This window comes from Homo sapiens, chromosome 9 (assembly GCF_000001405.40).
Source record: "Homo sapiens chromosome 9, GRCh38.p14 Primary Assembly".
Classification (NCBI taxonomy): Eukaryota; Metazoa; Chordata; class Mammalia; order Primates; family Hominidae; genus Homo; species Homo sapiens.
Genome location: NC_000009.12, coordinates 4,579,235 through 4,606,918, shown reverse-complemented (window position 1 = coordinate 4,606,918; position 27,684 = coordinate 4,579,235). Strand labels below are relative to the sequence as shown.

The window sequence follows — 27,684 nt, the reverse complement described above, 5'->3', positions numbered from 1 at the left end:
TTATACATTCTTCTAAATTTTTTTCAAAGTTTTCAGCTTCTTTGCCTTTGGTTTGAATGTCCTCCCGTAGCTCAGAGTAATTTGATCGTCTGAAGCCTTCTTCTCTCAGCTCGTCGAAGTCGTTCTCCGTCCAGCTTTGTTCCATTGCTGGTGAGGAACTGCATTCCTTTGGAGGAGGAGAGGCGCTCTGCTTTTTAGAGTTTCCAGTTTTTCTGTTCTGTTTTTTCCCCATCTTTGTGGTTTTATCTACTTTTGGTCTTTGATGATGGTGATGTACAGATGGGTTTTTGGTGTGGATGTCCTTTCTGTTTGTTAGTTTTCCTTCTAACAGGACCCTCAGCTGCAGGTCTGTTGGAGTACCCGGCCGTGTGAGGTGTCAGTGTGCCCCTGCTGGGGGGTGCCTCCCAGTTAGGCTGCTCGGGGGTCAGGGGTCAGGCACCCACTTGAGGACGCAGTCTGCCCCTTCTCAGATCTCCAGCTGCGTACTGGGAGAACCACTGCTCTCTTCAAAGCTGTCAGACAGGGACATTTAAGTCTGCAGAGGTTACTGCTGTCTTTTTGTTTGTCTGTGCCCTGCCCCCAGACGTGGCGCCTACAGAGGCAGGCAGGCCTCCTTGAGCTGTGGTGGGCTCCACCCAGTTGGAGCTTCCGGCTGCTTTGTTTACCTCAGCAAGCCTGGGCAATGGCGGGCGCCCCTCCCCCAGCCTCGCTGCCGCCTTGCAGTTTGATCTCAGACTGCTGTGCTAGCAATCAGCGAGACTCCGTGGGCGTAGGACCCTCCGAGCCAGGTGGGTGGTGCGCCATTTTTTAAGCCCGTAGGAAAAGCGCAGTATTTGGGTGGGAGTGACCCGATTTTCCAGGTGCCATCTGTCACCCCTTTCTTTGACTCGGAAAGGGAACTGCCTGACCCCTTGCGCTTCCCGAGTGAGGCAATGCCTCGCCCTGCTTCGGCTCGCGCACGGTGCGCGCACACACTGGCCTGCGCCCACTGTCTGGCACTCCCTAGTGAGATGAACCCGCTACCTCAGATGGAAATGCAGAAATCACCCGTCCTCTGCGTCGCTCACGCTGGGAGCTGGAGACCGGAGCTGTTCCTATTCGGCCATCTTGGCTCTCCCCGAAAACCGGATTTAAATTTTATATTAAAAAGTTTTAGATTAAAATTTTAAATGTAAAAGTAGGGTTTGTTCATGAGAGAAATATCTGAAAAACACAGGAAAGTACAAAGAAGAAAAGAATCACTCATAGCCACACATAGAAACACAAAAAATTCTTAACATCTGAGCAGTTTTTATTCCCCAGTGCTTTTCCTATGGGTAGGTTTAAGAAAGACATTGAAATCACACTATGTTTACCATTTTGCATGCTGCTGTTTTTTATTATAATTAAGTTTTAAATATCAATCCATACCGTCATGTGCTTTAAGTGTCCTTTTTAGTAGCTGCTTAATATTCCACCCTGTTCCATCTGTTGAGCAGGTTCCATCCTGGTTCTCAGTCCACATGGAAGAATATCCATGAGAGGGTATGCAGTCTTCTGACATCCCACAGAGCACAGCTGCACCAAAACAAGGTTAGACTTTCTTATAAAACTAGATCTTTGCTCACTAAATAATATGTGAACAGGGACCTACAGTCTAGTCGGGGAGACAGACATTAATCAAATAACCACAGAAATAAGTGGAAAATTGTGAGGCTTACCAAGGAGATTACCTGTTGTCCTGAGATTGAATGGTAGCGGGTATTTGACATGGCTGGGAGTCAGGGCTGGCTTCCTGAGGATGAGACAGTGGGGCTTGGATCCAACGGAGGAGTAGCAGCTAATTTGGTGCACAGCACTCATCAAGCAGAGGTCCTTTCAAAGGACTGAGAGAAGACAGGCTAAGTGGCCCACAGAGCATTCCTTTCCCCTGCACACATGAATCCCAGTCCAGGGAAGAATACAGTTGTTTGTGTGAGCTATGTAAGGCCACAACATGGAAGAAAGTTGTTCTAGAATTTAATAAGGTGGTTTTGGCTGTATGACTTTTACAGGGGTATGGGGAGTGCTTCTGATCCATTGGTAGGTATTCCCAGTACTTTGTCACTGATTCAGATACACAGCTAAGTGGCAGTTCACCTGCTCAAAGAATTCAAATATAGGACAACAGTGCCCCCAGTGGCTGAATTTAATGATGCCATGTAGTTGAATTAGTCCTCTTGACTTATTATATACTGACATATGCTAGATTTGCAGGATGACACTTAAAACTAAATGTTGTTTGCCCTAACCATCAGGGTAGTGAATTACTTTAATTCTTTTCTGCAAAGTCATTGGCTTTGCTTTAATTCCCAACCTTTTCAGGCAAGGAATCTCTTTAAAATGTAAACAAAGGCCTGGTTTGGGGCTCAAATCTATAATCCTAGTACTTTGGGAGGCTGAGGAGGGAGAATCCCTTGAGGCCAGGAGGTTCAAGACCAGCCTGGCAACATAATGAGACCTCGTCTCTACAAAAAAAGAAAGATTCTATATACACACATATATAGTGAACCCCATATAACGGCATAAATGGGATGCACAGACCTCCTACATGCAAAACTACACATCTGGGTATCATCCATCTCTATTATGTTATGGGTAACATAATTGCTGGATTTGTTTTTATTGTAGGAAGATTCTACCTCTGAAGTAAATTATATCATTGAAAGACCAAGCTACCCTCTGAAGAAATACTCACTGCATGAACAGAGATATTTTTAAGGTACTGTCTTATGTAAGTAAGCAGCTTAAGTGCTTCTCCTTATCTTGGTTTGCTAAAAGAATTTCAGTTTCCTCCTATCAATATGAAGTAACTAGAAAGTGTGGAGGACAGGAGACTTGGAGGAGACCTGAGAACTGCGTTCTTCCCTTGCTCTGTATGATAACTGCAGTGCACGTGCCTTCCAGCTCTCTTGCTTCCTCTTGTAATCATCTCCCCTGCCCGCAACATCACCCTTTATCTAATAGACTTTCCGGCCTTCTTTCAGCTTCTTGAACACGGAGCTTTTTCCTGCCATGGGGTCTCTGCACATGTTGTTTTCTCCATCTGGAATATGTCTTCCTGACTCTGCCTGGATAACTTCTATTTGTCCTTCCAGGCTTATGATTTTCTATGACACGACACTCCCTCTCTCTGTGATGTGTACCCTTTAGTACACAGCATTTTTCCTTCATAAATTATGACACAATTTCTTATTATATTTTTATCTGGGCTGATTGTTTAAAATCTGTCTCTTCTACTGGAGTGAAACCTTATGAGATCAGAGAATCTGTCTCTGTTGTTCACTGCTTTATACGCAGTATTTAGTGCCATACAATGGAATCACATTTAACTTTGCAAACACATGTACTAGGTGTGTGCACTGAACAAGAACCTGCCTACCCATCTCCACCCTGCTGCTGTCTCTGTATCACCTGACCCTCCACAATGGTTGCTGCTCAGTAAAGAGGGTTTTTTTTGTTTTTGTTTTTGTTTTGACATGGAGCTCTGTCACCCAGGCTAGAGTGCAATGGCGCAATCTTGGTTCACTGCAACCTCCACCCCCCAGGTTCAAGTGATTCTCCTGCCTCAGCCTCCTGAGTAGCTGGGATTACAGGTGTGCACAACCACACCCAGCTAATTTTTGTATTTTTAGTAGAGATGGGGTTTCACCATGTTGGTCAGCCTGGTCTCAAACTCCTGACCTCGTGATCTGCCTGCCTCAGCCTCCCAAAGTGCTGGTATTACAGGCGTGAGCCACCGTGCCCGGTCGCAGTAAAGAGTTTTTATAAATGCATGTTGAATATGCATTGATTATGAATGCATGTAACAAGGCAACTCTAGAATTCAGATCTGTGGCAAGTAGTTAGCCACATTGTGGGACATCATCGTTTCTCATATATTCTTTTCTTTTCCATTCAAGCCCAGAATAATAATCGCTCTTCCTTATGACATGCGGCCTGAGTGCTGAGACTAGTACACATACTTCACATGTATTAAACAAATTCATATCTAATTCTCAGGACAACCCAATGAGATAGGTACTATCATTAGTTCCATCTTACAGATAGGAAAACTGAGGCATAGGTTAGGTCCCTTGCTCAAGGTGACATGGCTAGTGAATGGTGGAGCTTTATTCTCTTAACCACTACATTCTATTGCATTTTCAAAGCTAGAGTGTAATCTTACATGGAAATCCATGTCTCCCCATGTGTGAAGGAGGGCCCTTTGGAACCCAAGCAGAGTTCGTGGGCATTGGCCTTTGGAAGGCTCCCACTAGGATCCTATAGCTTTGTCCTGTATAGTCCTCATGTCAGCAGGATCAGAATAATTATGCGTCTTTCTAAACAATAAAGGAGTGTGGGATGACCTGCTAAGTTTTCACTGTAGTCAGGCTCCTGAAAGTCTGTTTTGAGGGTCATGCATGCTTTACAGAACAAGTTGGCTTGCCTTAGGAATGGCCAGGGCTCCCCACCTTTAGCACAGAGGAATGTGCAGGACAGCTCAGTAATGGCCCATTCTGGAGGCTTCTACCTTAGAACGTTCTGCTTGCTAGATTAAAGGACGGATTCTGGGCCATTTACTCTCTGGTTACCAAAATAATTGCCGTCTAGGCAATTATTTAGGTGGTTATACGGAACATAGCCCACATGATTATCAAATGCCAAATTACATTGAATTTCAACATGGGTAATATCAAGTTACATAGAGCCCTGAACCAGCTGATATGTGGACATTGATGTGGGGGGATAGAGAGAAGGTAAGAAAAGAAAAAAAAAAAACGTCAATTCTTTCTTGGAAAATAGGTTTCCCACACAACAGGAATTCCCACCCAGTAGTTTGGCATACGCTTAGAATACCTTCTCTGGAAGTCTCCATACCATCCTCCCTGACCCCGCTTCTTGAGTCATGGATTCCTGGAGAGGCTGGGATCCTGGAGGGTCATTTTAGTGAAGCTTTAGTGATTGTGAAAAACCCAAGTGACTCTGGCTAGTCTTAAGCAAACGGGGCATTTATTTGAAAGATGCTGAGCATCCATCTCAGTGAGTCCAGGAAAGATCCAAACAGGCAAGATCAAATAGCTAGAACAGGACAGCCAGAGCCACTCCTGTGGGTTGGGAGGACAGACCCCAGGCAGGAGGCATCCCCCACACACAACCCAGTGGCTCCCACTACGTGTCCCAGTCCCGGCTTTTCTTGAGGACTCTCTTCTAATGGCAGCACCAATTCCTGTCCCTCCCCTTCTCCATATCTGTTTCACTGCCAGGTCCTGGCTCCCCAGCGATCTCGAGATCTCAGGGAGATGAAAAAGTAGATTCTTACCACAAAAAGGTCAGGGATTCTTGAGCCAAAAACAATGAGTCCCATTGTCTGACCACGTAGAGGGAGAGAATGGGTGGAAGAAATGGGTTGAAGGGGTTGGAATACATCTATTTCTGGATCTTTTGGGACTTGGTACTTTTGGTATAAACAGAGTATCCCTTGTATATTTAAAATTGGTGAATTTTACCACACAAAAACCAAACATCCAAAAAACCAAACAAAAAAAAAAACCTCCCGTAAAGAAACCCCTCAGATTATCCCTAGTTCTCTTGGAAGGCATAATTGCCGTGAAATCCCGGCCCCCAGTGTGCAGTGCCAAATTACAGAGCAAGACTCCATCAAAAAGAAAGGAAAGAAAGGAAGAAAGAAGGGAGTGAGGGAGGGAAGGAAGGAAGGGAGGAAGGAGGGAAGGGAAGGAAGGAAGGAAATTTGTTCAGTAGAATATAGTTAATTGGAACACGTTTAACAGCTCAACTGAATAACACCTATTTTGGCACATTTACTATGTAGCAATGCTAACTCTTCACTATAATAGTAAGAGGTAGATACTCTGTCATCATCCTGATATTTTACAAAGACGTCAAGTAAATTGTCCAAGGTCACACAGATGCTCACTGGGTTATTCTGTTGTGGGAATCTGGGGAAAAAGCTCAGAGACTAAGTGATCCCAAGGCATAGCTACATGCCAAGATTGGGGTAGTATGACATTATCTTTTTCTCCTTACTTGTATTGATTGTTTGCCTTTTTCTCAATACCACATGTAGAATGTGATGTTTCAAATTTTGCAGGGGAAATTAATGAAAGCTTAAGGAGAATCATGAAGAGCTCACTCACTGAGACAATTGAAGCATCCTTAAAGAAATGAACACTTTTTGTTGTCTGTGTTGAGTCACTGATGTCTAATCCCCTTTAAACCAAACCCTGTACTCAGTCTTTTGTGCCCAGGTAAGAGTTGTTGATTAAAGTGTTTGCTGTTTGGGGGCTAACATTTTCTTGTCAAGCTGGAAAATTTGTGTTTTTGCATGTTTGTTTTGAACATGAAAGAGAAAGCGCTGTAGTTGGGTGGCAGGTGCTTATCTGAACACTTCCCCTCTCTCTCTCTCTGGCTCTCTCTGGCTCTCTCTGTCTCTCTCTCTCAAATTAATTATATATGAGCTAGAGGAAGTTGCTATTCACAGGAATAACCTGATAAATCCTCCAGGAAAGACTATCAACCTGACTTTCTCTTTTCGGTAGATCCGTTTTTGTTGTTGTTTGTTTATTTCTTAGTGTTAGGCTTGATTTACGTGAAGTCCACTAAAAACCTTGGAAAAGAGAGCATTACGTCTGGGTAGTTCAGATCTTGTTTTAGATGTTGAATGTCTGTGATAAATTTGTAAGAGGAGGCTGGCTCCTCTGGAGCGTAGTTTAAACTGCTCCTTCTGTTTCCTACTCCTTCGTTCCAGCAATTCTTTGTAAATTTAGATGAGGAACAAAACCTTCCTCAAATATTTCTCCAAAAGAACTACACATTAAGTAAATAGGTTCTACAGATAGGACTGCCAATGCCAGGTTTTAAAGTTAGTTAGGAAGGTGCATCTATGAAATGCTTACACAGTGTGAGGGAGCAGGAATAGGAAGGGGCTGGGATAAAGGGAGACTAGAGGCACATTTGTCTTCATTGATACAGACCCAGAGAAGAGGGGCCTGAAAATGGAAACTTATTTCCCTCCTTCATAGTGTAAGCATAGCATTTTCCTCTACCAGCCCTACTATAGTGTGAATGTTTGTGTCCCCTCAACATTTGTATGTTGAAATCCTAACCTCTAAGGAAATGGGGCCTTTTGGGAGGTGATGAGGTTGTGAGGGTGGACCCCTCATAAATGAGATTAGTGCCCTATAAATAGGCTCAAGGGAGCTCGTTTGCCCCTTCCACTGGCGAGGAGACAGCGAGAAGGCGCCATCTCTGACCCAGGAAGAGGGCCCTCACCAGATTCTGCATCTGCCAACATTCTGATCTTGGACTTCCCAGCTTCCAGAACTGTGAGAAATGAATTCCTGTAGTTTGTAAGCTACCCAGTTTATGACATTTTGTTATAGCAGCCTGAATAGAGTAAGACACTACCCTAAAACTTGTTCAGTTTTTAGAAGATTCAGTGAGAGCCAAGTTTTCTTTTCTCACTGTAATCATAGGGATTGGTTCATTAGGTAAATTAAGAAAATGAAATTAAAAATTAAAACAGAAAAGGAACTCCAAAAACAAAAACAACAAAACAAAATTCATTTATCCTCTTCTTAGAATTTCAGCCAAATAAAGGTATATCCAAGTTGAACCTCCCAATCTAAAAATCTGAAATCTGAAATGCTCCAAAATCCAAAACTTTTTGAGCACCAATATAACACCATAAGTGAAAAATTCCACATCTGACTGCATGTGGCAGGGTGCAGTCAAATGCATTCGAAACTTTGTTTCATGCTCCAAATTATTTAAAATCATGTATAAAATTACCTTCAGGCTACCTGTATAAAGTGTATATAAAACGTAAATGAATTTCGTGTTTAGACTTGGGTCCTATCCCCTATCCTGAAGATACTTCATTGTGTTTATGTAAATATTCCAAAATACAAAAACAAAAACCAAAACCCAAGTTTAAAATACTTCTGGTCAGTCCCAAGCACTGAAGATAAGGGAGACTCAACCTGTATCACAACCAGCATTCCACCTTGGCAAGGCCAACAGCAAGCTTAAATTACATATGCTAATATGTTCTCAGTCTCTCTGAAACTATGGTTGTCAATTTGTTGTTTTGATGTTACCTCTAAGTAGTCATCAAAAGTAAGAAAATATTGTGTTACATTAAGGTTACGCTATAAGTCTCAGGAGAGGGCTGCTTACGTAAGCAGCTAAAGGAAAGCAGCACTAATGAATTGGTATCCCATTTCAGTTATTGTTAAAATATACACCATGACATTCAATATTCAGTGTTTTTTGAAATGGTTTAAGCATAACTCTTTAATAAGATCTTAAATGCCCATTCTTATTTAAAGTCATTTTTGGTTTTCACACTAAATTACGCTTTTTTTCCCTTTACTTTTGCATCTATTAACTCTATTCCTTAAATTATTATTATTTTTACTTTTGTTTCTCAAGGAGTTATCTCAATTTTGAGGAATCATGCTGGGGCAAGGATTGCAGTTGAAGTATTTTGCTTTTGGAGTGTATAATAGTATGAATAATTTTGTGATGTTTTGGGGTTTGGATTACTTTGGGAAGATCTGTGTCATTAAACATCATAAAAAGAATTCCCATCTGTCTTGCTTCAGTTTATAATTCCTTTCTTGATTTTTATGGTTGCAGATCTGTCAAAGCCTGGAGCATATTTTATGGGCATGTTTCATGGGGTCTTGGTTTGCAGAGGCTCCTAAGAAAATCTCCTTTGTGGAACCTAGGCCCTCCAAACAAAAGCTGCTGTACAATGAGGCCAGTTCTCTGTGGTCACCTGACTGACCCAAAGTTAGCTGAAGCCTGTAGGCCATGAATTATAAAAGAGATTTTTAAAAAATGAGAGTGCAAATGATATGTTTGACATAAAAGAGGTGGCGGGTTTTAGGTGTAATTTGAGAAGACTGATGGGTATGTGTGTGAGTTCAGCCCTAGCACCCAAATGCCAGGCTACTCTCAGTATAGCCAGTACTCCCCTGAGTTGGTCCATCAAAGGAGCCCGCTGGGCTCTCTGGAGGGCAGCCTGAGGAACAGGATATGCTCTGTAGTCCATGCTGTGACCAGAGAACCCACTAGTACCACCGGATGGGACTGCTGTCTTTCTCTGGTTAGGGGACCCCTCCTAGCACTACTTAGCGGACCTGCAGGTCTTAGGGAGACCTCTTCTCTCTTCCCTTGTGCTGGGAACCCTGCCAACAGTGATGAGAGCCCCAACCCTTTGCTCCTTTGGCCTGGGAGCCCCATCCTCCACACTGAATCTAGGGGCACCAAATTATGGCAATGAAGTTACTTTGTTTATCAAAGGAAAGAACCTATGCTTAATTTCACATAGGGAATTTGGTCAAAACAGGGTCATGTCTAGGACAGGAGCTTTTACATGGTGCAGATGGGTCCTTTTCTTGATGGCTGAGTTGATGGAGCTTCTTCAACAAAATGAGGAGTTTCTAGTCCAAAATTTTTCCTTGGGATTCTGCGTCTTTTAGAGTGATCCATTAGCTCCGCCCACCTCACCCCCCACGCCCCACCGTGTGTGTGTGTGTGTGTGTGTGTGTGTGTGTGTGTGTGTGTGTGTGTGTATTTTGTTTTCTTTTTTTATATATATAAAAAATAGAGAAGGAGTCTCCCTATATTGACCAGGCTGGTCTTGAACTCCTGGCCTCAAGTGATCTGCCGCCTCGGCCTCCCAAAATGCTAGGCTTACAGGTATGAGCCACTGCGCCCCTCCGAGTACCTGGATTTAAATCCTAGTTCTGCCATTTACAGGCTGAGTGCCTTGGACAGATAATTTAACCTCTTTGTGTCTCAATGTCCTTATGTATAATATGGAGGTAATAATAGTATCTGTCTAATAATGTTATTGTTGGTAGATAATACATTTAAAGTACATTAAATCAGTGCCTGGCACAAAATGAGCACTCAGTGAGCATTAGCTATTCTTATTCTCATCTCATTTAATTTTTTGAGGAAAGCATTGCTCCCCCTATTTCTTGCTAAGGACACTGAGGCTCAGAAAAGCAAGCGTCAGAGCCAGTTTGCAAACCCTGCTCTGTCTTGTTTCCAAACCTCAGGTTCTCTGTACCACTTCCTGTCACCCCTTTGCTGCCACCTGGTTGGCCCTGAGGCATCACAGATAATTCAACTTAAAGGGTTTGAAAAACATGAACTCAGAACATTTCAGAATAACAGAGCAACTAAGGTCTCTTGACAGAAGTTGGAACAATTAACCACTTCTTGTTTAGGCCAACAAGAGAGGCTTTCTGCTCGTATTTCCTGTCATTGAAATGTTATGTTTGTAAACGGCATTTTTAGGAAGTCCCCTCCTCCCCACCACCCCCAAATAAACTTTCCTGTTCCTTTTTCTCCAGGAACGGACACTCACTGAAATTGGAATTTTGAACTGAGATAAACATCATACTTGTTTTATTGGGATGACTTCCAGGAACAGACCGTAGGCAGTGGCAGTAGGTGTTATTGCTGGAAGCGTTGCATTCATGGTGGGAACTCTTCATTATGAAAGCTCATTTGTTGTTGCTTAAGGGATAGGATGACGTCCTTTGTTCACTGGGTCTCCTCCCAGCCCTGCAGTTAACAAAATTGATCCCACAGCCTCGCATGGACCCACTCAACTTGTATTTGTTAAACTCCTTCTGTGTGCTCAGTATTGCGCAGGACCCTGTGGGGTCGGGAGGGGTCACACTAAGGGGTGTAAAATTCAACCCGTGCCCTCTTGAAGTTTCCATACTTACTGGGGCAATGAGACCTTAAACGAGATATTTCAAGTGTGATTCCCAAAAGGTGTTGCAAACTCGGATGTCTTTAGGACCAGGCAGGATTTGTGACTGTCAGAAGCAGTTGAGTTTGAAATAATGGTGAGTGATGGGAGCTGGAGTGAAGTGGAGCATGTAACACCCCATCCTCCCACAAGGTGTTCATCTTCAAATTCAAATCTAAACCAGCCAAAGGCTCTGTGGCCCACATAAAGCTGGTCTGAAGCTGGGTCTTGCCCAAAGCCACCAGTTTTGACTCCTGTTTAGTAGTATAAAATAATGGTATTGATTTACAGTGAGGTTTGTGGAACTCAATTTCATTACTTTATAATCGTCTCATATTGATTAACTTAATAATATAAGGCAGTATCTGATTATGTACCAAGATACTGTTGCTTCTGTATGTTTCAGGAGGTTAGAAACAGTGGGGTATTGGTGTTGGAGGCCCAGAACTTATTTTCAGCATTTAAAAAATAGGCAGACCAGGTAGAGAAGAGATTTGGGAGAGTGAGGCAACTGGGGAGAGTATAATGAAGCATATGTATATAGAGAAGAGGAAATGTCCTTTGGGGTATCTTCTGAAGTGTCCTAAATATTCAGGCGAGTATTTTCAACTTGTGCTGTAGACAATAAGAAGCCGTTAGAGTTTTGGAGCCAGAAAGCAAAGTATTAATCTGATGATCTTGTGCAGGATGGTTTGGGAGTAGGTAGAGGCTGGCGGTGGGGAGACTCTGACAAAGCCTTTGAAGAAGTCTGAAAATTAGGGCAATAGAACCTCAACTGAGTAGGAGAGTCACAGGAAAGAGAAGGGCTGATTAGACATCAGGGCTGGGAAGACATCATGAGACAACTTATTTTAGGGGTGCTTAAAAACCTGTGGGTGTATGGGGGAGGTACCTGGCCCTTTTAAGGAAGAAGTGGTTAAGTCCGGTGGCCTGGGCTTGTTACAAAGTGAAGGTGAACTACTTAGTCAGCAGAATGAGGTATTGATGGAGAGAATAATTGCCCTGCAGAAATAAGGACACAGTGTCCTTCATTTTGTGGATTCATATTCTTCATGATGTGTGAGGCAAGATGAACTCAACGACTAAGAGAACAAAATAGGAGCTCAAATGAAATCCTTTAGGGACTTTTCTTTTTGTGGTCTCTTTTTGGCCAGGGAGATAGAATAGGGAACACTTAGAATTACTAGGGGTCAAGGTGGGTGTTGAGAAGAATGGAGGCCTTGTCTGGGATTTTGTTTAGTATTTTTTTAATCCCTCTGAATCTTGTTCTTATCGTGAAGGCCTTATGGTTGTAAATAGAATTTAGAGGATTATCAAAATACAAGTTGTTTATTCAAGAATTACGTGGGAAGAGAAAATGCAGGAGTACACCATGTCCAGTGATTCATGTCTGGACAGAGGCTAAGTCTTGGGTCACTCGCTTCACAAAGAGGCATCACTGTTCACTCAGGGGCTCCCACCTGAATCCCAGAGCAGACGGATTCAAATAAATGCACCAACCTCTATAGACCTGCCTTGCAACCTCAAACCTCTTGGGGTCAAAAGCAAGAAGAAATGTTTATGATCCTAGATTGTAGGGGAAATAATGGTGATTTTTAAAAACACAATTCCCCGCTGGGCGCGGTGGCTCACACCTGTAATCCCAGCACTTTGGGAGGCTGAGGCAGGCAGATCATGAGTTCAGGAGATCAAGACCATCCTGGCTAACACGGTGAAACCCCGTCTCTACTAAAAAATACAAAAAAAGTTAGCCAGGCATGCTGGCGGGCGCCTGTAGTCCCAGCTAGTCTGGAGGCTGAGGCAGGAGAATGGCATGAACCCGGGAGGCAGAGCTTGCAGTGAGCTGAGTTCGCGCCACTGCACTCCAGCCTGGGTGACAGAGCGAGACTCCGAAAAACAAAAAACAAAAAACAAAAACCCACAATTCCCAATCTGGGAAAGAGAGACTACAGAAAAGATTGATGAGATTGATTTTGGATAAGTTCAGTTTAAAAAGATGGTGGAAAAGCCAACAGAAAGTGGTCAGTAGAAGTTGGAGGTGGGGATCTGAGGTTTGGCTTGGAGATCAGGGCAGGAGAAACCAAGGGCAGCTGTAGACTTTGTGGATACACATTTTTGTTAATCATCTGCATAGAGATGGTAGTGGAATCCATAATATTGGAGGAGTATCTGGTGGAGAGAGGAAGACCAGAAGGATGTGAGCTTGTTCATTTATTCCACAAATATTTGAGGGGACCCTGTGTGTGTGGCACAGGGAGAGATGAGACCCACAGTAAGGGAGCAGCAGGAGGAGGTTACAAAGGTTGTGGAAGAGTGGTGGAAAACGGTCAGGCGGGGCAGAATCTGGTAATGTCTTGGAAGCCAAGGAAAAATAACTTAGTGGAATATAAAGCTAATCAACAGTGACATATGTTGCAGAAGAGTAAAAATTGATGACTGAGAAAATGCCTTTTGGATTTCATGAGCAGGGCACTGATGACCTCGGAGTTTCAGGAATGTTGTGGAAGCCCGACTGTAGGGGATTAGGTGTTTGTGAGTGGGGAGGAAATGGAGTCACAGTATAAAGAATAAAAAGCAGCCCCCAAAATTTGGCAAGAAAAGGAAAAGAGAAATAGGGTTCCAGTTTTTATCCTGACAACTCCCCATCCCTGGTTTTGGAAAAGAAAGGGATTTTGGGGAGAGTTGGGGTTTGAGTGAAAGATTTAAAGGTGATATAAGGGAGGGATACAATGATATTGTATACCATAAAGGAGGTGAGGCTGGGCAGCTAGATGAGGTGGGAGATAATCTAGACATATTTAAAATTAATTTTTGCTAGAATGGGAAAACAAACAGCAATTTGAAGGAGCAAATTTGGTTGTATCAAATAAAATGTCATGATTAGAAAGCTTGTAAAGAGGTGACGATTGGATACTGTCATGCATTTCCTCTTACTTTTTAGGCATTTTGAAGCATTATATCTTAATAGTTAGGAAAAGACTTGGAATCATGTGAGTCCCAGCTCTGTGAACTTGGGCAAAGTACTTAACCTCCCTAAGCCACAGTTTCCTCAACTGGGAAACAGATGGTAATATGACCTGCCTAATAGAAGTGTTAAGAAGAATGCATGAGACTATGCATGTAAAATATTTAGTACAATCTCAGCACATAGTTAGTGCTTGGTGTTAGCAGTGATTCTTTTTTTCTTAAACCACTTTATTCAGGTATGATTGGCATACTAAAGGTGTACATATTTAGCATGTACAACTTGGTGAGTTGTGAAACCATCACCAAAGTCTATGCCATAAACCTATCCATCATCTCCAAAAGTTTCCTCTCACCTTCTTTATTTATTAATTATTTTGGGGGATATGATAAGAACACAACGTAAGAGCTACTATATTAGCAAATTTGTAAGTATACAATGCAGTATTAACTATAGCTACTATGCTATGCAGTAGATCTAGCCAATGATTCTTATCTGCTTTGAACATTTTAGATCACCCCAGACTTGAGTTATAATTGATATTCTAGCACTCCTGGCACTCTCTGCCTTACAATGCCTGGTGAAGAACAGTGACACTGCAGCCACATGGCTGAGCGATCTATTTGTTGTGTGGTCTTTGGGGAAGTTGCTTAATGTTTTGTGCTAGTTTCTTCGTTTGTGGAAAGGGGATAATAATAGTACCCACTTTATGATGCTGTTATGAAATTAAATGAGTTCATATTTAAGTGGTAAGAGCACTGCTTGCCACATAGTAATTGCAATGCCAACGTCTGCTGAGTAAATAAAAATGTTCTTCCTCTGTGATTTTTTTTTTTTTTTTTTTGAGATGGAGTCTCCCTCTGTCACCCAGGCTGGAGTGCAGTGGCGTGATCTCAGCTCACTGCAAACTCCACCTCCAGGGTTCAAGCCATTCTCCTGCCTCAGCCTCCCGAGTAGCTGGGACTACAGGCATGTGCCACTACACCTGGCTAATTTTTGTATTTTTAGTAGAGACAGGGTTTCATCATGTTGGCCAGGCTGGTCTCGAACTCCTGACCTCAGATGATCCACCCGCCTCGGCCTCCCAAAGTGCTGGGATTATAGCTGTGAGCCACTGTGCTTGGCTTGTTGTTGCTGTTTTTCCTTCTGGGCTCAGGACATCCCACTTGCTTGGGCACTCATCCTGGCAGGGAGGCTCAGGGGATACCTTCAGCTGTTAGGTCAACACCTTAAAAGAAACTGGACGTTGATTTGCCTTAGAGTGTCATCTCTAGGAAAGGTAATGATGCCCAAGAATAGGGTAGGTGACTGTCTGCCTGGATTGATATAGAAGCAAACATTTTCACAGTGGTGAGAAAAGCAGACTAAATATCCTTGCAGGCTGAGTCGGCCTTATTTGCATGTCTAATTTTTTCATCAACTGCAGTGGCATGTTTTTCTAATTTAACTGGCCCTTTCTGATGGAGCAGAGAGCCTTGGATTTGTGATTCATGTGAAGTTGACACATTCTTTCTACCTTAACCTTTCTGGCTAAATTAGAAGATGGGAGGATTAGCTCCAAAGTACCTGAGAGGTAAAGCCAACTTGGCATGCTGGGAAGACAGAAGCAGGTGTTGAGGATGGATCAGCCAGTGTCCCTCTATCGCCGACTGGTATTGCCTTCTTTTATCACGTGAATTTATACAGTAGCACTTCTCTGAGATCCATCAGACCTGCCTAGTTTCCTAAAGACCCGGACAGGATAACCTCGGATTCATTTTGGAAAACCTTTATAATTTTTTTTAAGCCCTTGGCTCAGAAAAGCCTTTTGGCTGGCCTTTTGTTATTCTTGCCAAGCTAAGCTAATAACCTTGGAAACACAACACAAGGGCTCTTTAAATAAAAGTTATGTTTGAATGCTTGGAGGAGGATCAAAGTCATCTTTAAAATGTACATGCCTTGAGCTCTTTGTGAAGGCATGCTCATACACTGGAAGGAGTAGTACCTTTTCTCCAGCGACTGCCCTTCCAGGATGACCAAAGTCATTTCAATCTGTCTTACCTTCACCTTGGAAAAGGTACTTTCCATGGGGCGCAGACAAAGGCAAAGCAAATCCTGGCCAGTGTTAGATCTCCAGACTCCTCACACCTTCCCCTGCAGCCAGACCCTTGACCCTGAAATGCTCAGATGATGCAACTCTGCATCGCATTCCCTCAAGTGCCCCGAAGCGAAAGAAGATGATGCGACATTGTGCTAACACTTGGTAATGGCTTTCCTGAGTTATGGAGGAATGGCAGCTACCAGAGCCTGCAGTCTGTCAGAAAAAGGCAGCTTCTTGGAGGGAAAATGGGGGACAGGCATCCAGACACTACTGCTCAGTTTAGTTGATTCTGCATTTAGTTCCAGGGTTATTTGCCTCCCTCCATTTTTTGATAAACAGTGCTTTTGTGAGGCAAGTTTCTCTCTAGGTAATATCCTGGAGTTGTCCCCGCGGGGCCAGAGCTTCCCAGCTGCAGGCTGCTGGGGCCTTCTAGAAAGCAGTGGAAATCCCCTAGAAGAGGCAATGGCATTCCTTTCTCATTTTCTCCAACCAGAATAATCAAAGGAATGTAATTGTTTATCTTGTCTTTTGGGGGTTTACTCATAACTGTTTTGAACTTGGTGATACCTTAAAAGTGGCAGGCCAAGCGGAGATTTGTAGATGAAACCATAAGTGTCACCCTAATTCTGGAGAGACACCTTCCAAATCACACATGACAGTGGTTTGCCCTAGTAAGGGAAGAAATGGGACATCAATTGTGTGGTTAGATCTCACTGCTTGCTTAGGAGTTTTGTGGCACTGTGCATGCAGCCCAGGCCATTGAGAAATGTCCCGATCATTTCCATCCTTGATGGATAACTTTATACACTTAGGTACACTCACCCAATTCCATATACAGGTCAATATTTTGTTCCCAGCCAGGCACGGTGGTTCAAGCCTGTAATCCCAGCACTTTGGGCGGCCAAGGCAGGCAGATCACCTGAGGTCAGGAGTTTGAGACCAGCCTGGCCGACATGGTGAAACCCTGTCTGTACCAAAAATACAAAAATTAGCTGGGCGTGGTGGTGCACACCTGTAATCTCAGTTACTTGGGAGGCTGAGGCGGGAGAATCACTTGAACCTAGGAGGCAGAGGTTGCAGTGAACCAAGATCGCGCCACTGCACTCCAGCCTCGGTGACAGAGTGAGACTCCGTGTCAAAATATATAAATATATAGTTCCCAAAGCTAATTTAACAAGGCCTGCTTCTTCTTCTTTATATTATCTGGCTTTCACTTTAAAAGTCTAGGATTGCAGAGAGGTACACTTCCTCCCACAGGGTATATTAAAAAGCCCCACGGGGGGCCCTGCTTCCATCAGGTGGGGAGACAGTTTTTGAAGAGTCACACAAGATTTATAGGCTGACTGCAAAAGTGAACTTCATGCTGTACTCTCATTTTCAGGATGTTTGAAGGGGTGTTATGTGAAGGTACATCTCAGCTTCACACAGCCCAAGCATCTCAAACCCCTCTCTGTGTTTCAGGGCATAGGAAAGGACTGCGAACACTTATTTTTTGTTTACCTCCTACATGACACTTTATAGAAAAAATTAAGTTTGATATTCTTTAGATTAAAATGTCCCATTTCTGAAAGGGTTTCCCCTTTATAGAATGGGGGCTGTTTACGAAGTCTCACTAGGTTGGATATACTGTTTGCTGTGATAACCCAGCCAGCACCACGTGGTAGGAGCTTCATTCCTTCATCACATCAGGGACACGGATCCTAAAATACTGGAACAGCAATTGCATCCCTACGGATTACCCCATGTTAATAAATGGGGGAGGGAGAAGGGTATAGTTTTTTCCCAGAAGCAGGGGTGGGGAGAAGAGGCACTAGCATTCGTTAGACATAGTCTGTAACAGAATCTTTGCTACATGCATCACATGCATTTTCTCATTGACTGCTGAAAGCAGTCCTGTGAGGAAATAATTTTTATTCCTATTTCATGGAAGAGGAAACCAAGGTTTCGGTTGTTGGCAAGGGACACAAAGCTGGTAAGGAATCAGAGCTGTGTGCCCACTCATCGTGTTCCATAGTCCCTTGCTGGGCAGTTGGGGAATACAGAATATCAATCCTGTTGCATAGAAGCTTCTAGCAGCCTTCCAAGGCTGCTAGACCATTTCCTGTCTTCTGTTCCAGGAGGGAAGATTCTTGAGCCCCTGCAAAGCAAACACTGCAGCTGGCCTACTGCCTGAGTATAAGCCAAGCACACTTCCCATGGCTCTTCTAAGAATCAGGGTATGCTTTAATAAAGGGCCTTGTACCCACTGGACTAAAAAAGAGTTGCTGGAAGAATAAAGTCATTCGTCAGCTGATAACACCATTTCTCTATTCATGAGTAAACTTTAGGCAAAATCAAAGTCACATGGAGACCCAGGGGCACCAGCTCTTCCAAACAAATATCTTTTTCTAAGGAGTTGTGTTGTTGAGTATTTTCTCCCACGTTGTACACAAAGGAAACTACCCAGTATTCCTTTGGCCAGGTAGTGATAGGCATTTTTATGAGCAGATAGGATCCTCTCCGTGGGAAACAGGGAGCTGTTCATTCCTTTGTTGTCTATCACAGCAAGTGAGTCCATCGCCCCCTGCAGAATCCCCTCATGACTGAGGTATTCCAGGCAGGACTGTACCATCCCATCAGAGATCACTCTGAACACAGCCATTTGTAGCTTGTAATCTTACTTCAGAGGGCAGGATTGTTCCTGTAGTGAAACCAAGCCACCATCATATTGAGAGGTAAGACTTTTTTTTTTTTTTTTTTTTTTAAATATAGGGTCTCTGTCGCTCAGACTGGAGTGCAGTGGCGCTATCACAGCTCACTGCAGCCTCAACTTCCCCAGGGTCAGGTGATCCTCCCACCTAAGCCTACTGAGTAGCTGGGACTACAGACACACACCTTCACTCCTGGCTAATTTTTGTACATTTTTGTAGAGATGGGGTCTTTCTGTGTTGTCCAGGCTGGTCTTGAATTCCTGGCCTCAAGTGTTCTGCCTGCCTCGGCCTCCCAAAGTGCTGGGATTATAGGGGTGAGCCACTGTGTCTGGTCGACTATCTCTTACTGTAGTAACTTCTAACAAAATTCTACTTTCATTCCGCCACAAAATATGCGTGCAGCTGTTCATAATGGCACTGTATTTCCGCCTTGTAATCCCATTGGCTAACATGAACAATCAGATTATTTTTCCTCAAGCCTCGCTTTTTCATTCTTGGGGTATAAAGTTTTGAAAACAATAATCCAGTTAGGCACAATGGCTCATGCTTGTAATCCCAGCACTTTGTTGGGGTGAGGCAGGGGAATCACTTGAGGCCAGGAGTTCAAGACAAGTATGGGTGGCATACTGAGACCCTATTTCTATAAAAAATAGAAAAATTAGCTGGAGTGATGGTGTGTGCCTGTAGTTCCACCTACTCAAGAGGCTGAGGTGGGAGGATTGTTTGAGCCCGGTAGGAGGAGGCTGCAGTGACCTGAGATCATGTCACTGCACTCCAACCTGGGTGACAGAGTGAGATTATGTCTCAAAAAAAGAAAAAGAAAACTGTATAAAATCTGATTCAACTGACCACATCTCTGCCTTCCCACACCCATCCAAGTAAGATAAAACAACAGATAACAAGAAGAAAAAGGCAGGGGGAAAGAATGAGGGAAGTGTTTATTGAGACTGAAATGGAACACTCTTCTCTTTTATGAGTTAACAGCAGTGTGTTAAGAGGCTGGTTTCAAACTGACTCCAAAATGATAACTGGCAGCTCATGAACAGCTCTGCCAACTAGTGCCACTAATTGGGGCAACCTAGTAAGGGGTAGAACCATTTAGCCCAAGATAAATTACTGATTCAATTTCATTTATATTTAGATTTATTTCCTATAAACAATAGCAATATTTGCATTTTAAAATTCACATTGAATCATTATTTACTATTTATGATGTTTACATAACAATTCAGTATCATTATGTTGTAGATTTCAGATGTAGGTCGTCAATACTGAGCACTTATCTACTCTTCTGCTATCTTTGGCACAATTTCTCATTTCTTAAACATGAAAGCACAGGTTTAAGTTGGCTACAGAATACTGCAGAAACATGACTATTTTGGATTTCAGTGTAAGTACAAGTTTATGTTAAGCATTATTTACAAGATGAGAACTGAAGTACAGACTATAATAAACTATCTTCATAAATTAGCAGAATGACAAGCAGAGGATGTAATGAATAGGGCCAAGATTACTAGTTAGAACAGTCCTCCTGGAGGAGGAGACAAGAGTCATAGAATGGAACTATTTCCCCCGAACCACTGATACCAGCTTATGTCGTGGGATTTACTCTGCAACAACCCAGGTTAGGGGAAGCTCTTTTTCTGCAACGTGGCTTGTTCAACCCATGGAATCTTTATTAAAATACAACTTAGTTGGTAGCTTGCCACTGTTATTTGGGCCCTGATAACAGAAGTGCAAGGATGGCAAAGTACTGGCCTCTTTGAGTATGAATGAACTTGGAAGAATAAAGCCTTCCAGTTGGATGAAAGCACATCCAGCCTTTTGTGAGTGACAGCTTTGTATATAATCTTATGCAGAGCTGATATGGATTCCCTCCAGGCAGCTCAAATCTGGAAGTTGTAAATGAATGGCTATGCCACCTTGGAGTATCACCATAATACATCTCTGCTTTAGAGCTGATATACAGATGTGAAACGATCGAACAACATGATTTCTCATTCTAGTGCTCCTTAGAAAGGAGTTCTGATAAGCCCCAAAGCAGACCTGGGTTGGAATCGTGGTTATTATTCAAGTACAAGGAGAACTCTTTATTTCACATTGACGGTTCAATTCTGATCTCTGTCTGGCAAATTATATGAAAATAATAAATATATACATATATATATATATATAGCTCTATGCTGAACACTGGGTTAACAGTTACCAGCGTCCCAATACAGTACATTGAAAAAAGAATCCTTCTCCCTTTCTTCCAAACCCTATGCCCATCTTAAAACTGTTATTGCAGAACTATGCTGGTCTGTTTTCTTTGAAATTGGCTGGAGATAAGTTAAAAATTGACATTTTGGCACATTAACTGGGGACAGGTGGTTTAGATGCATTATAATTTATAAAAAAGTGAGAGGTCAAAGGAAATCCATGCCAATAGAAAGCCTGAGTAAAAATTTGTAACCAATGACAGAATATTTTTTTTAAAAACCCAAAACACTTGTCTATGCATGAGAAAGCATTTTCTCTTTCATATCCATTACCTAATTCTAACAGTTATTACTTTATGTACTTCCAAACTTTGTCTCTTATAGAATTTCTAAAACCCAGATAATAGAACTTTCCTTTAAATTGATTTCCCTTCAACTTACCCCACACCCAAATCCCAAAACCCAGAGCGCAAAGGCTGTGAATCCAAATATAGAAAATAATCTGGAGGTCTGTATATCAAATCAAATGTACACTTGGCCATTAGTGTTTCTCTTTTCCTTAAGCAGTGTTTGAGATGACTCTCACGGAAATGTCCTTCCTTGTTTCCAGTCATCTGCAGCCAGGGGCCCTAGAACTGTGAGGTCTGGGTGAATGAGATGGTGTCAGACTTGTCTACTGCAAAGCCTCCATTGACATAAGACTTCTTGGTGTCTGAGTCTTCGTTGTCAAGGATTGTGGATTCCAAGGCAAAGGGATTCACAATGTTGACTTCAGATGAAACATCCATCTGCTCCAGCTCCTTCTTGGAGAGCTTTTCCACAATGCCCGTCCCAAAAGCATCACCAAGGACGTTGACCATGGTCCTGAACCGGTCCCTGGGGAGAGACGGGAGGAGTCAGACAGGAGGCCCAGATTTCATTTTCCTTCATCACTGGAGAGATGCAAGGACCTGACATGTTCAGTTTAGATTTCAGTAAGTGCAGAAAGTGCTGTCCTCATGGCTGACTGACTGAAGGCTCCTCACAGGCCTGGGGTTGTTCATAAAGGCACAGCATGAGCTCCCCCAAAGTAGCAATGACTCCCCTAAGTCTCCCTAAATTCCTTCCTCTTCTCCCAAAGAAACATGAATAGAGTCGTTCCAGATATTTTTTGGGGGACTGAGGGAGGTTCAGAATTCAGTAAGTTTTTCAGCCCTAACCTCTATCTTGGGATTTTCTAGATTCAATGCAAATGCCATTGTGGGCTCTCTTTGGGCAAAGGTCAGAGAACTTGGGTGTTTTGTGGGTGGAGTATGTACCATGTGCATGTGGGGTATGTATGTGTTTGTTCAGGTCCATGGTGTACTTGTTTATTTACCAATCTAGGTCACTCTACTTATGAGCAAACCAGGAGGCATGGTGCAGAGCACGGGGTCAGAAAACACAGGTCAGCCCAGGAATGGATTTCTCTGTGGGCCACCCTCATCCAGTCTTAATTTCCAGAGAGCCTGGGGAAGAGACTGGTGGCAGGAAGACAGGTAGAGAAGGCACACTGCAGAGGAGAGGATCCATTTTGATACTGGCACTTTGTTGACAGGAACTGCATGCAGGGGGAATCTTGTGAAAACTACACCTGCAGAACAGAAAAGGCTGACAATGCTTACACATGACCACCCTGGATGCCCTTCTGTTATTTAGAACAAGTCCAGGGATTGAACTGGCCCTAGTGTCTTTTTATCCCATACCTCCAATTGGACCTTTGACTCATCTGGGTATCTTGGCAGGGAAGGTAACTGGTTCCAGGAAGACTCAGGGAAAGGAGAAAAATGCAAATCCACCAGCATCACTAGAAAGAACCAAATCTTGACTCAATGATAGGATATCTTTGCAAGAAGGGTGCCACCTCATTTGGGCCTATAGCCCAGTTAGCTACTGAGGGGCCACCTCATGGCACAGCTTCCAAGCCAGGTGCAGGGGCTTTTGCCATTTGAAATGTGAATCTGTGTTTTCAAGCCCAATAGGATGTCTCTGCTTCCCTTTCCATCTCATCTGTCACCTGCAAACTACAGTACATAGCACTGGACTCCCCAGTGAGCCTGAGCTGGTTCTGAGCAAAGGCTCCATGTGGAGCAATACTTACCTGCAATGCCAGGGGACAGAGCCAGACCTAAATGCTGTAAGATCCATGCACAGAAGTGGGCATCAAGGGTAAAGCTTGGAGCCAGGCTGGTTCTAACTTTAACCTTGAGGGTCACTGAAGGTACTTTCTCACCCAGATGTTCTGCTGTATTCCATATGTGTGTGTGTGTGTGTGTGTGTGTGTGTGAGAGAGAGAGAGAGAGAGAGAGAGAGAGAAGTGTTGTTGATTGGGGCCTGAATGGTCCAACTCATTCTAATCATAACAATAAAACTTGCCATTTATTGAGCATGTATGGGCTGCCAAACGCTGTTCTAGATGCTCCACTCACATGAGCTCACTCAGTCCTTAAAACAACCCAATGACATAGGCAGATTTTTTCCCATCTCACAGATTATGCAACTGGGCCTCAGGTTAAGGAAACTTGCTCGAGGTCAAGAAGCTGGTAAGACACAGGACGGAGATTCAAACCCAAGTGCTTGTGCCACTGTCCCTGATGGTTCGGAAGATGCTTAGGAAGACGGACTGATTTTGAACTAGGTGGTTCTGAGCCTATGATGCTGAACCAGGGCTGGGATAGGTCAGGATGGCTCTGGGGCCCTGCCTGGCTTCTCACCTTGTTCTGTGTTTATCTCTGTCCCACACCCAGCTCCTAAGCTTGAGTGTTACCAGGTATAATGAGCTAATGGAGCTCACCGGCTTTTTAAAATCACTGCTCCACGTTATGAGGAGTTAATTTTTAGGCATGTTATCAGATGGCCTGGTCAGAGGAAAATTAAAGCAGCAACAGGTGGCTCATTAGGCAATCTGAGGAGAGAATGATGACAGACTGCAGCGCCTGCGAGGCTGGGAAGCCCGCCTGCACATCCAGCTAAGGCAGTGCATTTATTCCAACTCACAGGAGCCAGTCGACAGCAATGATCAGGGTGACATCCTCGGCGGGCAGGCCCACGGCACTCAGCACAATCACCATGGTCACCAGGCCAGCCTGGGGCACGCCAGCAGCTCCGATGCTGGCAGATGTGGCCGTGATACTGCAGAAACATACCAGCAGGAAAGGAGTTAGACACTTACCTCTCCCGTTAAAGCCCTGGCCTGAAATGGTTACTCCCGCTTAGTCCCGATGGCTATTACTGCTGTGTCCCTAAATTGGGTAGTTAGAATCTGTGACTTGCTGAGCCCCAGCTCTGCCTCATTACAGGATTAGAGCTGTGGGGGGAGGGGGACTATGAGGGGTATGATGCCATCTCCTTGCAGACGGAGATATGGCACATCACTCTAATGCAAGGAAGAACTGCATAAGTGGCACCAAAAAATAAGTAAGAGAGATACTCAAGAGGAAAGCAGGAGTTTACTAAATGGGGTGTTAATAGGAGGCTTCGTGTACTCATCTATGTATACATACACTCATCCTAAATAAGTGCCAGGTACCTCTGCACCTGCCTTCCTACTCCCTTGTTCCATCTACTCACCACCCAATAATTTACTGAGCACCTAATATATGGCAGGAATTTAAGTTGCCCTGAAGGATGGACAGAAGGATAGTTGTAGGGGCAGATGGGCAAGGGCATTTCAGGTGAAGGCAAAGGAATGAGACAATGGTTAAGCAGGCTTTATGCACTCTCTTGACATCACAGGACTCTTTACCTCTGGGAACTGCTCTTCAGGGCACTGAATTGAGAAATAGCTGATCCTGTCCAAGGTACAAGCATTTACTCCTGACTGCTCCTTTTTGCCAGTAGATGCACTTTGTGGGAAAGAAAGATCTGGAATCCAGGAGGGGCAGCCAGGTGAACTTTATTACCAGGTATTTAAAAAGATCCCTCTTGGTAAGATCAGCTGAGGCAGTAGGGATTTTTTTCTTTGTAATGTGCAGTCTCTTTATCAGCAACATCTTCCTTATTTTAATTGGATCATTCTGAAGGAAACAAGGGTTCAACATGCCCTGAAAAATCCCTTGACTTGGATAAGCTGGAGGCCACACCTACAGTGCTTTCTGGAGACAAGTCCTTGCCCTTGGGCCAAGGCCTGAACTGTTGCCCGGGTTCCACTGTGTTGAAAGGTGAAAATGTAAAAATTGGCAATTTAAACTGGAAGAATCCCTGATTCTATCCACACATTCATATTCTTTGGGGCTAAAAAAAGCCAGAGTTCTTAGGAAGCTGATTCTACTGCCCATTCATCTGCCTACTGAGGTGTTGCAGAAAGCATTTGAGGGTACAGTCAAACACAGGCCAGAGTTTTTTGACAAGTGTATTTTCATTCAGTGGTTTTGACCACCAAATTATAGTAAATTAGAGATTTCTGGGGCTGTACCAATTACTCTAAAGGTTTCAGGCCTCAGTCTCAAAGGTTTCTGGCCTCTATAACCCTTTGGATCTCTTCTGACCTAAGTACTCTTTGGAAAGCCCAAGTTTATTTTAATGCTGGTTGAAAAAAATTTAAATGGAATGCATCAACAGGTTTTCTTTGTCAGAAGTGATTTGTGTCCATGCCAGCTGATCCCTCTTGGAAACCCTGACGTGTCACAGTAATCCATGTCTCTATAGCCTGAGGCTGGGCTTGAAACTCAAAATTCATTTAGTCAAAGAAAACTCTGTCCTTGAGCCTTGACCTTGCTTACCAGACTACTGCTGTTTGACTGGCATTGGTCTGAAACTCAGAACTATGAACCTTCAGATGGGAGAAAATAATATAAAAACCTATTCCTGCTGCTTGAACATATTCTACTTTGAGTTAGAGGATTTCCACAGAAGAAAACATAAATATCAGTGGTACAAAGTTCTTTCCTCACACTGAGGTCCTAGTTTTAGGACCGGCCATTGGACTTGGCTCTCTAAACAGGTTGAAGGATGGCTTGTGACTTGGAGGGAACACAGGTTTTAGTGTCAGACACACCTGGGTGATGTACTTTGGGCTCTACCATTTTACTGATGGCATTTCTTCAGGCAAGTTACTTCTCTGAATCTCAATTCCTTGCCTGTAAGATGGGGACAGTATGTCTACTGCAAGCTGCTGGGAAGATTAAATGAGGTTAATACACGTAAGGCATCTGGGATAGCACTTGTATAGTAGATGCTTAAAAACATGCCATTTCCACACGTATACCTATGTAACAAACCTGCATGTTCTGCACACGTATCCCAGAGCTTAAAGTAAAATAAAACAAAAAACAAACAAAAAGATTAAAAACGTGCCATTTCTGCTGCTACTTCTGCAACAACAGCAGTTGCTGCTAATGCTTCCTCTATTGCTGCTGTCGCTGCTGCCACTGGTATTATTACTACTGCTACTGCAGCAACCAAAACAACAACTATTACAACAACTACTACTACTACTATTACTACTGCTACTTTTTTTTTCTCTCAGCTCTTTCTAGGCCCCAAATCCTACAATTGTCTTTCTTCTTTATTCCTTATACACACACACACACACACACACACACACACACACACACACACACACACACATATATATTTTTTTTTTTTCCAGAGACAAGGTCTCACTCTGTTGCCCAGGCTGGAGTTCAGTGGCATGATCACAGCTCACTGCAGCCTCCACCTATTGGGCTCAAGCGATCTTCTTGCCTCAGCCTCCTGAGTAGCTGAGACCACAGATGCACTCCATAACACCTGGCTAATTTTTGTATTTTTTGTAGAGACGGGGCCTCGCCTTGTTGCTCAGGCTGGTCTCAAACTCCTGGGCTAAAGTGATCCGCCCGCCTTGGCCTCTTAAAGTGCTGATATTACAGGTGTGAGCCTCTGCGCCCTGCTGTATAATTAGCTTTACTTTTCTTTCTTTCTTTTTCTTTTCTCTCTTTCTTTCTTTCTTTCTTTTCTTTGAGATGGAATCTCACTCTGTTGCCTAGGCTAGAGTGCAGTGGCGCCATCTCAGTTCACTGCAACCTCTGCCTCCTGGGCTCAAGCAGTCTGCCCACTTCAGCCTCCTGAGTAGCTGGGACTACAGGCACATGCCACCATGCCTGGCTAATTTTTCTTTTTTAGAATATTTTTGGTAAACATGGGGTTTTGCCATTTTGCCCAGGCTTGTCTCGAACTCCTGGACTCAAGTGATTCACCCACTTAGGTCTCCCAAAGTGCTGGGATTACAGGTCTGAGCCATCGCTTCCGGCCCTAATTATTTTTATAAGACAATTTATCCTTTTTTTTTCCATTTTGACACATATTCTCACACAATTTTCAATCCGTTGTAACCTTTGAGTATTATGATAAAGCCACAAAAGGGTATGTTTTGGGTAGATGGTACCTATGTTTCTTTGATGTCCAGTCCACAGAAATATACTTTGGGTCTAAAAATCTCTTTAACCATTAGTCACATGAACTATAATGGTAACTGTCAAGCAAAACCAACTTTTATTATTTTCCATGTAGAGCCAGTGAGGATTTTTAATTTTAAGCCAATGATTACTTTGGGCCTCACAGTTGTTATTGGCTCTGGGCCAGTAGTTTTCAGCAAATCTGATTTAAGAATATACCAGAGGTAGCCGGAGAGGCTTTAATGAGAATTGACTATTTAGCTTCTAGGCCCAGAGTTCATTCCTCTGGCAGTGAGATTAAAAAAATGATTAGAAAGATCTAGAAAACTTACAACCAAAAAAGAGGGAGGGATTTCATCACAAAGTGTCAAATACACAAAAGAATAGGCACTTCATAAACCACTCCTTGGAAATCAGTTCAGTGAAGACTGGGTTCCACAGCCCAGGGTGAGGGAAGTGGGAAAAAACCCTTGGAAATGTAAAAGTAACAACTGTTGGAAGCACAGGGGTGGTTGTGGAGCAGAAACTTTTTCAGGCATGATTCAAGGTTTCAATTTTGAC

At 43.3% G+C, this 27,684-nt stretch overlaps 2 protein-coding genes across 25 annotated transcripts in view, besides 2 other annotated features; one reads left to right on the top strand and one right to left on the bottom strand.

The window, feature by feature from the left end:
• SPATA6L (spermatogenesis associated 6 like) overlaps positions 1–18,098 on the top strand; it is a 77,660-nt gene extending 59,562 nt beyond the window's left edge. For 11 of the 18 annotated variants that reach the window (NR_148443.2, NR_148448.1, NM_001039395.4 and 8 more), the window contains 3 exons: positions 1,479–1,572; positions 2,650–2,740; positions 6,110–8,603. Coding sequence is in view for 12 of the 18 variants with exons in the window: in NM_001039395.4 (NP_001034484.3) it covers positions 1,479–1,572; positions 2,650–2,739 (184 nt within the window). In the remaining 6 variants the exon portion in view is untranslated. Of the gene's footprint in view, positions 1–1,478; positions 1,573–2,649; positions 2,753–6,109; positions 8,604–10,388; positions 10,485–17,957 lie in introns of those variants that run through there. The other 7 variants (NR_148446.2, NR_148447.1, NM_001353485.2 and 4 more) reach the window with 3 other exon arrangements.
• Positions 226–1,425: an enhancer, noted in NCBI's record as "MED14-independent group 3 enhancer chr9:4605494-4606693 (GRCh37/hg19 assembly coordinates)". NCBI's record gives its function as "activates an origin of replication core promoter dependent on BRD2, BRD4, P300/CBP and CDK7 cofactors, and independent of MED14, by STARR-seq in HCT116 cells {active_cell/tissue: HCT116}" and the evidence as "EXISTENCE:reporter gene assay evidence [ECO:0000049][PMID:35650434]".
• Positions 235–812: an enhancer, noted in NCBI's record as "H3K27ac-H3K4me1 hESC enhancer chr9:4606107-4606684 (GRCh37/hg19 assembly coordinates)". NCBI's record gives its function as "activates a minimal SCP1, AML or CMV promoter by ChIP-STARR-seq in primed H9 embryonic stem cells {active_cell/tissue: H9 hESC(primed)}" and the evidence as "EXISTENCE:reporter gene assay evidence [ECO:0000049][PMID:30033119]".
• The window catches only part of SLC1A1 (solute carrier family 1 member 1), a 97,002-nt gene continuing 88,767 nt past the window's right edge, over positions 19,450–27,684 (bottom strand). For all 7 annotated transcript variants that reach the window (XM_011518007.2, XM_017015042.2, NM_004170.6 and 4 more), the window contains 2 exons: positions 23,747–23,881; positions 19,450–21,607 (listed from right to left, as the gene is read on the bottom strand). In XM_011518007.2, the coding sequence (XP_011516309.1) occupies positions 21,361–21,607; positions 23,747–23,881 (382 nt within the window). In that variant the 3' untranslated portion in view covers positions 19,450–21,360. The remainder of the gene's footprint in view (positions 21,608–23,746; positions 23,882–27,684) is intronic.